The 16,076-nt window shown below is 53.2% G+C and overlaps 1 protein-coding gene across 19 annotated transcripts in view; it reads right to left on the reverse strand.

The window, feature by feature from the left end:
• JUP (junction plakoglobin) overlaps positions 2,929-16,076 on the reverse strand; it is a 32,103-nt gene continuing 18,955 nt past the window's right edge. For 16 of the 19 annotated variants that reach the window (NM_001352774.2, NM_021991.4, XM_047435939.1 and 13 more), the window contains 11 exons: positions 15,699-15,900; positions 13,243-13,387; positions 13,033-13,136; positions 11,303-11,641; positions 7,035-7,190; positions 6,719-6,838; positions 5,954-6,104; positions 5,735-5,856; positions 4,495-4,534; positions 4,050-4,215; positions 2,929-3,752 (listed from right to left, as the gene is read on the reverse strand). In NM_001352774.2, coding sequence (NP_001339703.1) covers positions 4,064-4,215; positions 4,495-4,534; positions 5,735-5,856; positions 5,954-6,104; positions 6,719-6,838; positions 7,035-7,190; positions 11,303-11,641; positions 13,033-13,136; positions 13,243-13,387; positions 15,699-15,900 — 1,531 coding nt within the window. In that variant the 3' untranslated portion in view covers positions 2,929-3,752; positions 4,050-4,063. Of the gene's footprint in view, positions 4,216-4,494; positions 4,535-5,734; positions 5,857-5,953; positions 6,105-6,718; positions 6,839-7,034; positions 7,191-11,302; positions 11,642-13,032; positions 13,137-13,242; positions 13,388-15,698; positions 15,901-16,076 lie in introns of all 19 variants that reach the window. The other 3 variants (NM_002230.4, NM_001352773.2, XM_047435935.1) reach the window with 1 other exon arrangement.

The following is a 16,076-nucleotide window of genomic DNA, read 5'->3' on the forward strand; positions in this document are numbered from 1 at the left end:
GCAGCAAAGGATGGGCATGCGACATAGCTCAGGCCAAGGTCCAGATAAGTCCCCAGGGTAGATGTCCCTTCTGAAAATCAAAAAGGCATAACCTTTCCGGGATATAGCCCATTGCCCTTTCCTCCCTTCTGCCTACCTGGAATCCCTGTGCTTTCTCATTTCATCCTCACATTAGGTACATGGAGAAGGGATCATCCTCATTTTACATGTGAGGAAACTGACGTTCAGAGAAGCGAACTGACTTTCTCAAGGTTGCAAGGCTCAGCTAGCTCTTCCATGAAAACTGAAGTGGCCAACTCACTGCATTGAAATGAACTGGCCTGGCCGGGCACGGTGGCTCACACCTGCAATCCCAGCACTTTGGCAGGCCGAGGCAGGCAGATAACCTGAGGTTGGGAGTTTGGGACCAGTCTGATCAACATGAAGAAAACCTGTCTCTACTAACGATACAAAATTAGCTGGGCAAGGTGGTGCATGCCTGTAATCCCAGCTACTCAGGAGGCTGAAGCAGGAGGATCTCTTGAACCCGGGAGGTGGAGGTTGCGGTGAGCCAAGATTGCACCACTGCACTCCAGCCTGGGCAACAAGAGCGAAACTCTGTCTCAAAAAGAAAAAGAAAAAGAAAGAAAGGAAAGAAGGAAGGAAGGAAGGAAGGAAGGAGAGAGAGAGAAAAAGAAAAGAAAAGAAAGAAAGAAATTAACTGGCCTTAAGTTTCCCATTTTGGCCAGGCTGCCAGGAAGCTGACGGCCTACTGTGAAGCTCCAATCTAGCACTGCCCCTTAGCATGGGGACTTAGCTGTCTTTCTCTTGTCCTCAGCACCCGTCATGTGGCTTGAGCGAGCAGTCCTTTTCTGTGGGGTGCCTCCGGCCCTCTTTTGGAAAGCTGGGGTGGGGAAATGGCGTTAATGTGTCAGTTATCTATCTTCATTGGCTTCTCCAGACCTTTTCTCCACTCTGCACTGGGCGGTGGGAGATGACACGAATGGACGTGAATGGGCTCTTGTTTCTGCTTGGGCTGGGCCAGTAGGGAGCTCTGGTAGGAGGGAGCACGGTCACAGTCTCCCCTTGTCAGGAAGCCTCATCCACAGGGTCTTGTCCCAGGGAGCACCCCCTCTCCTCCCAGTATCAGGCCAGAGGTGAATATCACTATAAATAGCCCGGCACCCTGTCCTATCCCTTGCGCTTTCCTATACATGCCCACAGCTTTGTAAACTGTCCCCTTACCACAATCTCCTCAAATCACCCAATTCGAGTGTTTCCTGCCAGGGTCCTGAACACAGAGCACATATAAAGGGCATTGTTGGCTGGGGACGGTGGCTCACGCCTGTAATCCCAGTACTTTGAGAGGCTGAGGTGGGCAGAGAACCTGAGGTCAGGAGTTCGAGACCAGCCTGGCCAACATGGGTAAACCCCATCTCTACTAAAAACACAAAAATTAGCCGGCCAGGCACAATGGCTCACACCTATAATAGCACTTCGGGAGGCCGAGGTGGGTGGGTCACGAGGTCAGGAGATCGAGACCATCCTGGCTAACACGGTGAAACCCTGTAGTCCCAGCTACTCGGGAGGCTGAGGCAGGAGAATGGCGTGAACCTGGGAGGCGGAGGTTGCAGTGAGCCGAGATCGTGCCACTGCACTCCAGAGTGGGCGACAGAGCAAGACTCTGTCTAAAAAATAAATAAATAAATAAATAAATAATTAGTCAGGTGTGGTGATGCACGCCTGTAGTCCCAACTATTGGGGAGCCTGAGGCAGGAGAATCACTTGAACCCAAGAGGTGGAGGTTGTAGTGGGCCGCGATCGTGCCATTGTACTCCAGCCTGGGAGATAAGAGTGAAACTACTCTCAAAAAAAAAAAAAAAAAAAAAAAAAAAAACGCTGCGGGGTGGGCGTTGTTAAAAGATTTTTAGGTCTTCCAGAGCTCTGAAAACTCTGTCCCCTCCCTGCTGCCCCGGCTCTAGTCGGCAGAGCTCAGCTCTGTGTCTCATCACCTAGTGTCTGGACCTTACAGCCAGCCCTTAATTGGAAGCACCTCCCTGTCTCCAGCCCCAGCCCCACATCCCACCAATCCTCTGTGAATGAAGCCATGGCCTCCCTCCACTGCCCTGAGCTCCAGGTGGAGTAGAAAGAAGGCACTGGGCCCTGGGCAGGCACATAGGCACCACAGGTTCTCAGGTTTGCCGGGTGCATTGTAACCAGCACCTCCTCAGAAAGGAGAATTTGGGGTTGTGGGTGGGGGAACTGTCACATGAGCTAAAGGACAGACCAACGTGATGGGTGAAATGACAGTTGTGCACGGGGCATTGTGGAGCACAGCAGGAGGGGCACCCGCTCATCCCTGCTGGGGGCGGAGGTCGTGGAGCAGGTGTTTCTGGAGTCAGGTCTGAGCCGATCCCGGCAGGTGAACAGTGGAGGCACCCAGACAGTGGGAACAGCATGGACAAAGAACAGGAGGAGGCTGCTGGCTGTCACAGGCACGGCTAAGGGCAGAGTAGGTGGTGGGGGGAAGGAAGAGGGGAGGTGGGCAGGAGCTGGGGTGGGCCCACAGCTGACCAACAAGGGGCCTGGACCCAAAGCCATAAGCCTCGGGGAGCATTACGCACGGGGACATCTGCCATATTCACTTTAAGGCTGGACGGGAGGAGAGCCAGCCAGGAGCTTGCCTGTTTGAGAGAGAAACAAGGCCTGGCCTCCCGAAGTGAGGGACTCATCCCCATTCACCTCCTCCCCCGTCCTCGCCCTACAAGCGCATATTGGGTTAAATCCACTCCGGCTCCCCCAACACTCCTGGCTCCCCAGCTTGCCTCTTCTAGTCCTTCCCACATGCAAGGCAGCCCTGAGGACCCGCAGGACCCAGCAAAGAGGGCGCCAGGCCGCTAGGGAAGCCCCTCAACTTTCCCACCCCACTCCCCTAAACAGCCTCCAACGCATCTGTGTTATTTTTATTTTCTTTGCTTTGGTCTATACAAAAAAACCAATAACCAAAAACATAAAGCGATAATAATAAAACACTCTGCTTGGACCTCCCCCAGCCCCCCACACCATGTGCGGGAAATGGGGGGGTCTGAAACAGGAAGGGGAAGAGAAAGCCCCTCACCACACACCAGAGGGGTCAGCCAAGAGCACTTCTCGGGGTCAGCTAGGGCAGCTGTGTGGGTGGGACAGGGGTGTGAGGAAGCTGTCCCCAGAGCTCCCTGGGGAGTGAGGGGTGGGCAAAGCCAACTAAGCACCCTGGAGAGAGAAGCTGGCATCTTCTGGAGCAGGTGACTCACTCCATATCTCCTCCCCATCTCCCCTGGACGGTCCCTGAACTTTTCAAGAGAAGTTTTGGATTTTGGGGGTTTGGGTCTCGAACCTGGGCCCTGGAGGCCCTGGGGGCTTAGGGCAGTTGGTCGGTGGAGTTCAGTGAGAAAATCAGACCCAGAGAAGGAACCAAAGCCCTTCCGGGCCCAGGCAGCTGGAGACAGGGAGGCTGGAGGTTTGGAGGGGCGTTGCTGGGGGAAAACAGAATGGGTACTTGAGTCTGAAGCTTTAGTGGCCAGGGCCACAGGGGCGGGGAGGGGGTGTCAGGCCCTGGACCCATGCCCAGGACAGAAAAGCAGGAGCAGAACACTATCCCAAGAAAGACCCTACGGAGGACCTCTGGAGGCGCAGGGTGCAGCAGGAAGTTACACCCCGGCTTCCCCAGCTCAGGCACTTTTCTGTCTTGCCCCATCGCCTGCACGGAGAGCCTCTCAGATGAGGAACCGCACCTGTTAGGGGAGCGGGGACAGACAGGGGTCAGGGGCTCGGTGGACCTGCATCCCCAGAAGCTCAAGCCACTCCGTGTCACCTGCCCACCACCCCCAGAAGGGGCCAGCAGGAATAGGCCTCCCCATCCCCACCAAAGACACAAGAAGAAGGCAGGCCAGGGCACACCGTGCTTGGGGAAGCTCAGCAGCAAAGGATCCCCCCAAAAAAGGAGCGCAGGTTTCAGCGGGGAGATGGGAGGGCCTCCAACAGAAGGAGGTTCTAGAGAGGAGGAAAAGCCTGCAAAGAGGGGGCCGTACTGGGGCCAGGCCGCCTAGGCCAGCATGTGGTCTGCAGTGGGGTACGGGGGCCTGAGGCCGTCGCTGTAGGTGTCGATGGGGTAGTCTCCATCCATGTCCATGTGCATCTCCAGCGGGTCAAGGGGCACATCGCTGGAGTACATGGGGCGGTAGGTGGCATCCATGTCTGGGGACAAAAAGTGGGGCTCGGTCCTAGGGTCTGCAAGCTACCCTGCAGGGAGCAGTCTGCACAGCCTTCAGCTGCCTCCTCTACCCATGCCCACCCCTGGTGGGCCTGACCCCTCCCCAGACCCCACACCAGGGCATCTAGACTGGGGTACATGTGGATGCCACACAGCAGTTGCCACTGGTCCTCTGGCCCCGGAGACATAATATTGTCCCCTCACACACACCCACACAGCCGCCCAGGATCTCCAGGGTCCTGAAGAGCCCGGCACACACTTACCATCTCCATAGGGCTCATTGATGGGAATCATGCTCTGGGCCTGAAAAAGGAGAGAGAAACATGGAGGGGAGGTTTGAAAATGCAGGCTCCGAGCTGGATCTCAGCTGGTGGGCAGGGAGAGATGCTTCTAAAAGAGGGGGCCAGGCTGGGTGCCATGGCTCACGCCTGTAATCCCAGCACTCTGGGAGACAGCAGGCGGATCACTTGAGGTCAGGAGTTCCAGACCAGCCTGGCCAACATGGTGAAACCCTGTCTCTACTAAAAATACAAAAAAAATTAGCTGGGCGTGGTGGTGCAGGCCTGTAATCCCAGCTACTCGGGAGGCTGAGGCAGGAGAATTGCTTGAATGGGGAGGCAGAGGATGCAGTGAGCCGAGATTACACCATTGCACTCCAGCCTGGGCGACAGGAGTGAGACTCTGTCTCGAAAAAAATAAAAAATAGGCTGGGCGCAGTGGCTCACGCCTGTAATCCCAGCACTTTGGGAGGCCAAGGCGGGCGGATCACAAGGTCAGGAGACAATCGAGATCATCCTGGCCAACATGGCGAAACCGCGTCTCTACTAAAAATAGAAAAATTAGCCGGGTGTGGTAGCGTGCACCTGTAGTCCCAGTTACTCAGAAGGCTGAGGCAGGAGAATTGCTTGAAACCGGGAGGCGGAGGTTGCAGTGAGCCAAGATCACACCACTGCACTCCAGCCTGGCGACAGAGCAAGACTCCATCTCAAAAAATATAAAAATAAATAAATAAATAAAAGAGGGGGCTGGAGAAAAGCAAAGAGGCCTTGGAGGAATAGAGGATGATGAAATGGGGTCACCCAGTGCCCTGATATACTCATGTCCTCGGTACTCCCCAGGGAGGAGGGTTCCCCACTCATGAAGCAGGGACTCCTGCCGGACTAGAGCAGCTCAGGGGAGGAGGCAGAGGACTCAAGAATGGGTACAGGGCACTGCCCCACCCTGGAAAAGACCGCCCATAGCCTATCCAGCACCTCCACGCAAATTACAAAAAGGCACCCCCACCTCAAACACTGTATACTCATTTGGGCAAAATAAAAATTGGCATTTTGTGGATATATGATTCAACCCACTACTTCCATCTGCTAGGAATTGTTATAAATGATCCAATTACAAAATAAAAATCTATGAAGTTGACAGTAGTAGGAGACCCCCAAAAGTGTTGCCCATGGGCAGTGCCCAACTTGCACAACCAACTACTGTGGTCCAACCTAGGATACTCACAGCCTCCCAGGCAGCCGGGTCATGCTTGAAGAGGGAGTTGGTGAGCTCCACGGACACGCGCTTCCGGTAGTCTGGGTTCTTGTCCTCGGAGATGCGGAACAGGACGGCAGCAGCGTAGGTGGCTGAGCAGAGAGGAAAGGAAAAGCCAGGTTAAACGTCGGCCAGCCTCCATCGTGGCTGGGGGAGTGGGACCCAGCCTCCTGCCCTCCCCCAGCTCACCAGTGCCCTCGTTGCGGGAGTGCAGCAACTCCATGAGTGGGGCCGAGGCCCCCTCTGCATCAATGGCGTCGGCCGCCTCCTTGTCCTGGGCCAGCTCACACAGCACCCCGGCAGCCACGCGCTGGATGTTCTCCACCGACGAGTACAGGAGCTGGGGAGAGGGGACGTGGGAAGCAGGGGAGAGGTGGAAAGGGGTGAGGCAGGCCGGACAACACACCCCACAGCACTGCCCACCTCCACCCTGTAGCAATTCCATAGTGGAAAATGGGCCGTCACTGGGGAGTAAGTGTTACTGCTTTAAACTGGGCTGAGCATTGTTCATGAGCTACCTTGAAATTACCTGTGACTCTGCCTCATCTAACCATTGGAATCTAGTGTTAATGAGCTCACTGATGTGAAAGATGTTAGACTCTTCTTGTCTGTTATGGTACTTGCACATATTCTCCCAGTTTGCTGATTTTTTAAAAATGCTTTTTTAGGTTCTTTCTGAAATACAGATGGTTTTCATGTTTATATGGTTGAATCTCAAGTTTTTTTGTTTTTTGTTTTTTTTTTCCATTTGTGATCTCTTTCCTTGCTTTGAAGCTTAGAAAGCCATGCCCATGCAGGGGGTTGCTAAGTAGTCAATCTGGAGTGGCAACTTTCCTCCAAACTCCTCCAAAGACCTCTTGATACCTGGTCCAGGCCTCCCAAATCTGGGACTCCTAACCTTGCCCTTTAAGCAGTGGTGGGGGGACCTCTCCTGCCCACCTGCCCCAGACTCACCTGCACAAACAGGGGAATGGTGTTGAGCCGGAAGATCTCCATGCGGTTCATGGGGTCCCGGGCGAGGATGTGCAGTGCTCCGGTGCAGCCCTCCACAATCTCCTCCATCCTCACACCATCCTGTGTGAGAGGAGGCAGGGGGCATGGGACAGGTGCCTTGGACATGGCCACAACTCCTCCCCATGACAGCCGAATGAACTTCACAGGTTCTTGGAATTGGCATCAGTTGCAACTGACCTCCCCATTCACACACACACCCACAGAGGACACCCTGACCCCCCAGGAAGGCTGTCAGAGGCACCACCAGCTCACATACCGTGTAGGGCTGCTGTGTGCCTGCAGCTACGTGGCGCTGGGCATCCTGGTGGGCCTTCACCAGCAGTTGGACGAGGCGGGGGATGACCGCTGCCTCCTGCAGCGGGGCATGGTTGGCTGGGCACAGGGCCAGATTCCTGATCAAGCCGATGGTTGCCTGGCAAAAAAAGGGGCAGTGATCAGGGGCACTTCTTGGACATCTGAAGGATCCCAGCTTCCCAGCTTCAAGTATCCCTTCCCTCCTTCACCTCTTCTGTCCCCGAGGCCAGACACAGACATACTGGAAAATATCCAGAGAAGGAGACCATCCCAGCCATGTCACTTAATCCACAGGATCTGGGAGTGCTCATGGCTAATTCTTTTTTTTTTTTTTTTTTGAGACAGAGTTTCGCTCTTGTCACCCAGGCTGGAGTGCAGTGGTGCAATCTCACCTCACTGCAACCTCCACCTCCTGGGTTCAAGCGATTCTCCTGCCTCAGCCTCCTGAGTAGCTGCGATTACAGGTGCCTGCCACCATGCCCAGCTAATTTTTTGTATTTTTAGTAGAGACGGGGTTTCGCCATGTTGGGCAGGCTGGCCTCGAACCCCTGACCTCAGGTGATCCGCCTGCTTCTGCCTTCTAAAGTGCTGGGATTACAGGTGTGGGCTACCACGTCCGGCTGCTCATGGCTAATTCTAATAGCCCTTGCTAAAATGACACCCCATTCCAGAACATCCTGCCAGCCCCATGCCTGGCCCCTCACCCTGTCCCCTCTTTCTTAACCACCCCCCACAGACACCATGACCTTGCTTGCTTTTCTGATAGTCCTCCAAGCCTGATTCTCAGGAATTCTGTGCTCTAGGTGCCCCCGAAGCCTCCTGCTTGGGTGGTGCTCACATTGTCATTAATCCCCAGCAGGGCAGCTCTGGAAAGAGGTGTCCTGAGATCTCCTCCCCAGGGTCTTTGACTCAGAGGAGCCACTCTGGCCTCCCAGAGCCTCTCAAGGTGTCATCTATTTCATCCTCAAAACAAGACGCCAGGAGGACAGGGATGAAAATCATGTGAGATGGGGACGTGAGCACAGGGCAAATGACTTGCCAAAGTCACTTGCCACTTAGCTGCTGGGTTAGGATGCAAAGTCCCACCTCAGGTTTGCAGCAGGGACCAAGCATCAAGGAGGGGTCACAATGACATTTTTTTTTCTAAACATGAATTTTCTTTTTTTAATTCAATGTATAGGCCGGGCGCAGTGGCTCACGCCTGTAATCCTAGCACTTTGGGAGGCCAAGGCAGGCAGATCACTTTAGGTCAGGAGTTCGAGACCAGCCTGGCCAACATGGTGAAACCACGTCTCTACTAAAAATACAGAAATTAGCCGGGAATTGCTTGAACCTGGGAGGCGGAGGTTGCAGTGAGCTGAGATCATGCCACTGCACTCCAGCCTGGGCAACAGAGCAAGAATCTGTCTCAAAAATAATAATAATAATAAAAAATAATAATTCAATGTGTAGAATCACTTAGAGTCATTCTTATCTGCACTGGGTTTTTTTTGTTTGTTTGTTTTTTTGTTTGTTTTTTTTGAGACGGAGTCTCGCTCTGTCGCCCAGGCTGGAGTGCAGTGGCGCGATCTCAGCTCACTGCAAGCTCCGCCTCCCGGGTTCACACCATTCTCCTGCCTCAGCCTCCTGAGTAGCTGGGACCACAGGCGCCCGCCACCACGCCTGGCTAATTTCTTTGTATTTTTTTAGTAGAGATGGGGTTTCACCGTGTTAGCCAGGATGGTCTCGATCTCCTGACCTCGTGATCCACACGCCTCGGCCTCCCAAAGTGCTAGGATTACAGGCGTGAGCCACCACGCCTGGCCATGTTTTTTGTTTTTGTTTTCCAAGACGGAGTCTCTCTCTGTCACCCAGGCTGGAGTGCAATGAGCGATCTCAGCTCACTGCAACCTCTGCCTTCCGGGTTCAAGTAATTCTTCTGCCTCAGCCTTCCGAGTAGCTGAGATTACAGGCACATGCCACCATGGCCAGCTAATTTTTGTATTTTTTGTGGAGGCGGGGACTTACTATGTTGGCCAGGCTGGTCTCGAACTCCTAACTTCAGGTAATCCTCCCGCCCCGTCCTCCCAAAGTGCTGGGATTACAGGCGTGAGCCACTGCGCCTGGCCTGTCTGTACTATTAAATTGTCTTAAATGTAGCTGGCGGATGCCCCTGCCAGCTGGCTCCTGTGCCCGTTGACAAGACCCTCATCGATGGTAGCTTCCTCACTCTCTGGCACCAGATGCCACCTTGCCTTTGGCTGCCTTCCTTGTCTCTACATATAGATATACACACACACAAACGCTTTCCCCCATAACTCTGTCCCTTGGGTCTGCCCACACCCTGACCCACTCTCACTTCCCCCACCTGACAGGGAAGTGACACACAGCTAGCTCTCTTCCACCCAGGTAGCCTCAAGAAGAAGACCCCACTCCTTCACACACCCAACTCCCTATGGGAGATGCTAAGCGTCCCCAGAATCCTCTGTGCCCTGTGTCTCTGTAGTGGCTCTCCTGATTTTCAGCAGGACACACGGCCATCTGGCTGGTGATCACACTTCCTAACCTCCTTGCACCTTGATGTGGCTGAATGACCAAGTTCTGGGGTGTGAGCAGGAGTGATGTGTGCCACTTTCTGGTGGCCGCTAGCCATCCCCAGTTCTCAGGGCTAGAACACATCCGTGGGGATGATACAGTCCACTCATTCGTGTGAGGACAACCCTCTCGTCTACACCCAGTGGCATAAGAAATGTGCTCCATGGAGCAGCACCTGCGAGCTTGTTAAAAATACAGAATTGGGCCAGGTGCAGTGGCTCACACCTGTAATCCTAGCACTTTGGAAGGCCAAAGTGGGTGGATCACCAGAAGTCAGGAGTTCAAGACCAGCCTAACCAACATAGAGAAATCCCGTCTCTACTAAAAAATGCAGGAGAATCGCTTGAACCCGGGAGGCGGAGGTTGCAGTAAGCCGAGATCGCACCATTGCACTCCAGCCTGGGCAATAAGAGCAAAACTCCGTCTCAAAAAAAAAAAAAAAAAGAAGAAATACAGAATTGTCCGGGCCTGGTGTCTCACACCTGTAATCCCCGTACTTTGGGAGGCTGAGGCTGGTGGATCACTTGAGTTCAGGAGTTCAAGATCAGTCTGAGCAACATGGCAAAATCCCATCTCTACTAAAAATACAAAAATTATCCAGACATGGTGGCGTGCACCTGTAATCCCAACTACTCAGGAGGCCAAGGCAGGAGAATCACTTGAACCCGGGAAGCAGAGGTTGCAGTGAGCCAAGAATGTACCACTGCACTCCAGCCTGGGCAATAGACATTGTCTCAAAACAACAAAAAAAAGACATACAGAATGGCAAGCCCTCTGCAGCAGGCCTGCAGAGAGACAGAGAGAGAGAGAGAGAGAGAGAGAGAGAGAGAGAGAGAGAGAGAGAGAGAGAGTGTGTGTGTGTGTGTGTGTGTGTGTGTGTTTTAGATTGTTTATTTGTTTGGGCTTTTTTTTTTTTCCAAATTTTTTGTAAGAGATGGGTGTCTCACTATGTTACCCACGATGGTCTCAAACTCCTGGCCTCAAGTGATCCTTCCGCTTCCGCCTCTGCCTGCACCTCCCAAAGTGCTGGAACTACAGATGTGAGCCACTGCACCCAGCCTCCTGTTTTTCTTTTCTTTTAAGACACGGGTTCTTGCTCTGTCACCCAGGCTGGAGTGCACTGATGCAATCATAGCTCACTGTAACCTCCAACTCCTGTGCTCAAGCGATCCTCCGACCTGAGCCTCCCCTCCCCAGTAGCTGGGACCACAGGCGTGCACCACCACACCTGGCTAATTTCTGTTGTTGTTATTGTTGTCGAGACAGGTCTTGCTATGTTGTCCAGGCTGGTCTCAAATTCCTGGCCTCAAGCAATCCTCCTACCTTTGCCTCCCAAAGTGTTGGGATTACAGGCATGAGCCACCGTGCCTGGCCCTGGAACCTGCAATTTAATGAAACCACCCAGGGTACTCATGTGCATTTTGAACTCTGAGCTCTGCCCTAGGGGCTGGTAGAGCTACAAGATAGAAATCCCAATTCTGGAATTTTAGAGCAGAGCCATTGTTGAGGTCTAAACTATTACACGAGAGAGAAATAAACTTCTGTCTTATTCGAGCCACTGTATTTAGGGCTTCTTTGCTACAGCGGCTTTGCCTATACCAATACAGCACCTAAGCCTGCTGCAGGGAGCTCCTTCCCCTCGCCTAACAGCAGTACCTTGACCAGTGGCCACTGGTTGGGCTGGTTGAGCAGCTTCACGATGGCTGGGATGCCATAGTTGAGACGCACAGAGTTCTGGGCCATCTCGGCCTCAGGGTGGCGGCTAGTGAGGTGGCGCAGAGCGCAGACGGCAGGCTCCGTGATGTCGTCCTTGTCACCAGCACGCAGGATGGCATGGATGAGAGCCTCCACACCGCTGTTCTGTGTCACCAGCGTCTTGTTCTTGCTGTTGTTGCATGTCAGGTTGGAGAGTGTGCCCGTGGCACAGGTGAGGACGTTGACGTCATCCACACTCAGCTGATTCACCAGAATCTTCAGCACACTCTCCAGGCCCTCCTGGAGGGCAAGGAAGGGACGGGGGAGTCAGGGAGCAGCCAACTCCAGGGAGCCTTCTCGAATATGTCCAAGGGGAGTGGGATGACCTAAAGGGGTCAGCCCTGCCTGTGTGTGCCCGGGAACTTTCATCCCTATGACCCGCCACACCCTGTGAGAGGGCGTTACTATCCTGTGGTGCAAGTGAGGCAATGAGGCTCAGAGAGGTTGGGGAACTTGCCCACAGACACACAGCTAGTGGCTGGATCTGAACCCAGGCTTGGCTCTAAGCCCCACATCTCTTCCCTCCAACTCATCAGCCTTTCCCTGGGGCCCTCAGACCCAGGCAGAACCCTCCTCAGGCCAAAGTACGGTGGCCAAGGGAGGCCTCGAGACCAGGAGGCAATTGTTGAGGGGGCCGCATGATTCAGTGGCCCAGCTGAGCCATGTCTACTCGCTTGTCACCTTTCTGGGCCTTCACTGCTGCCCCACCACCCTGGGGCCCTGAGCCAAATCCATTTCCAGTAAAATCACTACCTCAGACGTCTATCTCACTTCTCCCAGGGAGACACGTGGGCCTTGTGGTGGAACAGAAAAACCCCAGCTTTGGGGACGGACAGTCCTGGGTTCAAATCCCAGTTCTGCCATTTACTACCTGTGACCATGGCCATTAGCTCCCCGAGCCTCAGTGTCTTCATCTAACCCACAGGGTCCCACACTCTAACCCCAGGTTGAATGAGCTACTGTCCACAAATGCCACGCAGAGGGCCAGCACAGGGTGAGCACTTGATAAACAGCATATTGCTAGGGGAGGCCTGGGGAATGGTTGTTGGAAGGAGGCACAGGGCACTTGCCCTGGAGCTGCATTTTTCCTTAAATTGTATTTTTAGTCATGGGGGCCTGTCTCTTGGTACACTATTGCTCCAGCCCAGGGCCCAGGTCAAAACTGTTCTTTTGCTGGATGTGGTGGCTCACGCCTGTAATCCCAGCACTTTGGGAGGCCAAGGCGGGTGGATCACCTGAGGTCAGGAGTTCAAGACCAGCCTGCCCAACATGGTGAAACCCTGTCTCTAATAAAAATACAAAAATTAGCCAGACATGATGGCAGGTGCCTGTAGTCCCAACTACTCGGGAGGCTGAGGCAGGAGAATCACTTGAGCCCAGGAGGCGGAGCTTGCAGTGAGCCGAGATTGCACCACTGCACTCCAGCCTAGGTGACAGAGTGAGACTCCGTCAGAAAAAAAAAAAAAAAAAAAAAAAGAGATGAGGGTTTTCAAGGCATTTCCAGCCTCAGTCACAAGGAAGAGAGATTTAGAGCCCCCAGTCCTCCCACAGTACCTCAGGTCAGATGCCCAGACAGGAGGCTGGATGGGGCAGCTGAAGAGGTCAACCCCAGGCCCAGATACCTCCCTCACCTGCTTGGTGGCCACATCTGAGAGGTTGCGCAGGGTCCACAGGCAGTTCTGCACCAGGCGGGGGCTGTTGCTGGTCAGGTGCTTGCCCAGGGCCTGCATCCCACCTGGGGCAGGGATAGGGGTGCCATCAGCCACGGGGAGCATGGCTGACTGAGCCTGGCAGCTGGGCAGAGCTCCCACCCCAGCCGCCCTCAAGGCCATCATACTCACCAGCCTCCACAATGGCAGGCTTATTGCTGGGACACACGGATAGCACCTTGAGCACACGACTGGTGGTCCAGAGCAGCTTTTCATAACTGTAGTTACGCATGATCTGCACGAGGGCCTGGGGCCCACCATTGGCCAGGATGATCAGCTATGGGTAAAGAGGGAATGAGTGTGAGATGGACGGGGAATATGACAGGAACAAGGAAGCGCGGGACAGGAGACAGAACTGTCATTACTGAGCTTCAGCTAAAGCACGAATAGTTCGTTTTTTTCTTTTAATGTATTTTTTTCTTTTTATAAAGATGGGGGTCTCACTATGCTGCCCAGGCTGGTCTAGAACTCCTGGCCTCAAGTGATCCTCACACCTCAGCCTCCCAAAGTGCTGGGATTACAGATGTGAGCCACCACACCCAGCCAAGCACCCCAATAAGTTTTTTTGTTTTTTTTTTTGAGATAGAGTCTCGCTCTGTCACCCAGGCTGGAGTGCAGTGGCACGATCTCAGGTCACTACAACCTCCGCCTCCCGGGTTCAAGCAATTCTCATGCCTCAGCCTCCCAAGTAGCTGGGATTACAGGCGTGTGCCATCACGCCCGGCTAATTTCTGTAGTTTTTGGTAGAGACAGGGTTTCACTATGTTGGCCAGGCTGGTTTCAAACTCCTGACCTCAGGCAATTCACCCGCCTCTGCCTCCCAAAGTGCTGGGATTACAGGCGTGAACCACCACACCCAGCCCACCCCAATAGTTTCATGACTGTTATGTAAGCCAAAATTTTGAAAAAAGGATAATACCCAGTGCTGACAAGGACATGACAAAACTATATGCACACCCATTACCAGTTATGGCACTGGAAATTAGTCCAGTCCTTCTGGAAATCAATCTGGCCATTTGGGGAAAAGCCTAGAAGTGTTAAAAATTGATGAGAATTTTTTCCGCTCTTTGACAAAGGCTAGACATTCATTACAGCATTGTTTATAAAGGTGGAATAGGAGCAATCTAAATACCCTCCCTCAGAATAAAGCCTGAGGTCTCCACTTAATGAAATGCTATCTGTAGGCTGGGTATGGTGGCCCATGACTTTAATCCCAGCATTTCGGAGGCTGAAGCAGGAGGATTCCTTGAGGGTAGCCTGGGCAACAGAGCAAGACACCATCCCCACAAAAAATTTAAAACTTAGCCCGGGTGCTAATTAGCTCAGTAGTATGTTCTCATAGTCCTAGCTATCAGGAAGACTAAGATGGGAGGAATGCTTGAGCTCAGGAGTTTGAGGATGCAGTGAGCTAGGATCATGCCACTGCACTCTAGCCTGGGTAACACAGTGAGACCCTGTCTCAAAAAAGAAAGAAAAGGAAAGAATGGGAAGGAAGGAAGAAAGAGAGGAAGAGAGGGAAAGGAAAAGGAAAAGGAAAAGGAAAAAGGAAAGGGGAGGGGGAAAGGGGAAAGGAAAGGCAATCTGTCATTATTAGAGGGTGGTTTTGAGGACAATATAGCAAAAAAAAATTTTTTTTAAACATCATACAGGCCAGGCACAGTGGCTCACACCTGTAATCCTGATACTTTGGGAGGCCAAGGCAGGCAGATCACTTGAGCCCAGGAGTTTGAGACCAGCCTGGGCAACATGGAGAAATCCCATCTCTATAAAAAATTAGTTGGGGGTGGGGCACGGTGTCTCATGCCTGTAATCCCAGCATTTTATGAGGCCGAGGCAGATGGACAACCTAAGGTCAAGAGTTCGAGACCAGCCTGGCCAATGTGGTGAAACCTTGTCTCTACTAAAAATACAAAAATTAGCTGGGTGTGGTGGCGGGCACCTGTAATCCTAGCTACTTGGGAGGCTGAAGCAGGAGAATCGCTTGAACCCGGGAGGCGAAGGTTGCAGTGAGCCGAGATCGTGCCATTGCACTCCTGCCTGGGCGACAAAGTGAGACTCCATCTCAAACAAAAAAAAAAAAAGAAAGAAAAGAAAAGGAAAAAAAAAATTAGTCGGGCGTGGTAGCACACGCCTGAAGTCCCAGCTACTCTGGAGGCTGAGGTAGGAGGATCATCTGAGCCCAGGAAGTCAAGGCTGCAGTGAGCCCTGATTACACCACTGCACTCTAGCCTGTGTGACAGAGTGAGACCCTGTCTCAAAAAAAAAAAAAAAAAATCAGGCAGAAAACAGATGCAATATTGCAGATTGTTATGATGACAAGGATGTGTACACATCTGTAATCTGCCCACAGAACAGCTCTTAAGGAAGCACATCGAAATGACAATAGTGGCTATATGAGGATGAGTGATTTTTTTTTTCCCTTATCCTCAAAATAATAATTCTGGGCAATTCAGTCGCATGATGAAGCATGTATATCTGCACCTATATCTCATCTAAAAGGAGTAAGGGGGCAGCGGCCCAAGGCTGTGCAGGATAGAAGATGGCGCAAGGGTGGGCTTCAGGCCTCGGGAGAGTTGGGGAGGGCCCACCTTGCTCTCCTGGTTGCCGTAGGCCAGGAGCTGCAGGCAGTCGGTGGTGATGGCCAGGAACTTGGGGTTGTTCTTGTTGAGCAGGGGCACCATCTTTTGCAGCCCGTCGGCCAGGCGCACGGCCATCTTGGCGCCCTCCTGGTACAGGAGCAGGTTGTGCAGCGTGGTGATGGCATAGAACAGGACCGACTCCACAGGGGAGCTGGGGGGGTGGGCAGGGGTTAGTACGCTGAGGTCCCAGAGGCCTGGCATACATGTGAGCCTGGCATGGGTTCCCACCTCCCCCAGGAAGCCTCCCCGCTACTGACGCCCCTCTGGAAATATCCCTTTGCTAAAATCTCATCACTCCTTGAGCCTGCCCTGCTCTTAAGCATGAAG

The sequence above is a fragment of the Homo sapiens genome, chromosome 17 (assembly GCF_000001405.40).
Source record: "Homo sapiens chromosome 17, GRCh38.p14 Primary Assembly".
In the NCBI taxonomy this organism is placed as follows: domain Eukaryota; kingdom Metazoa; phylum Chordata; class Mammalia; order Primates; family Hominidae; genus Homo; species Homo sapiens.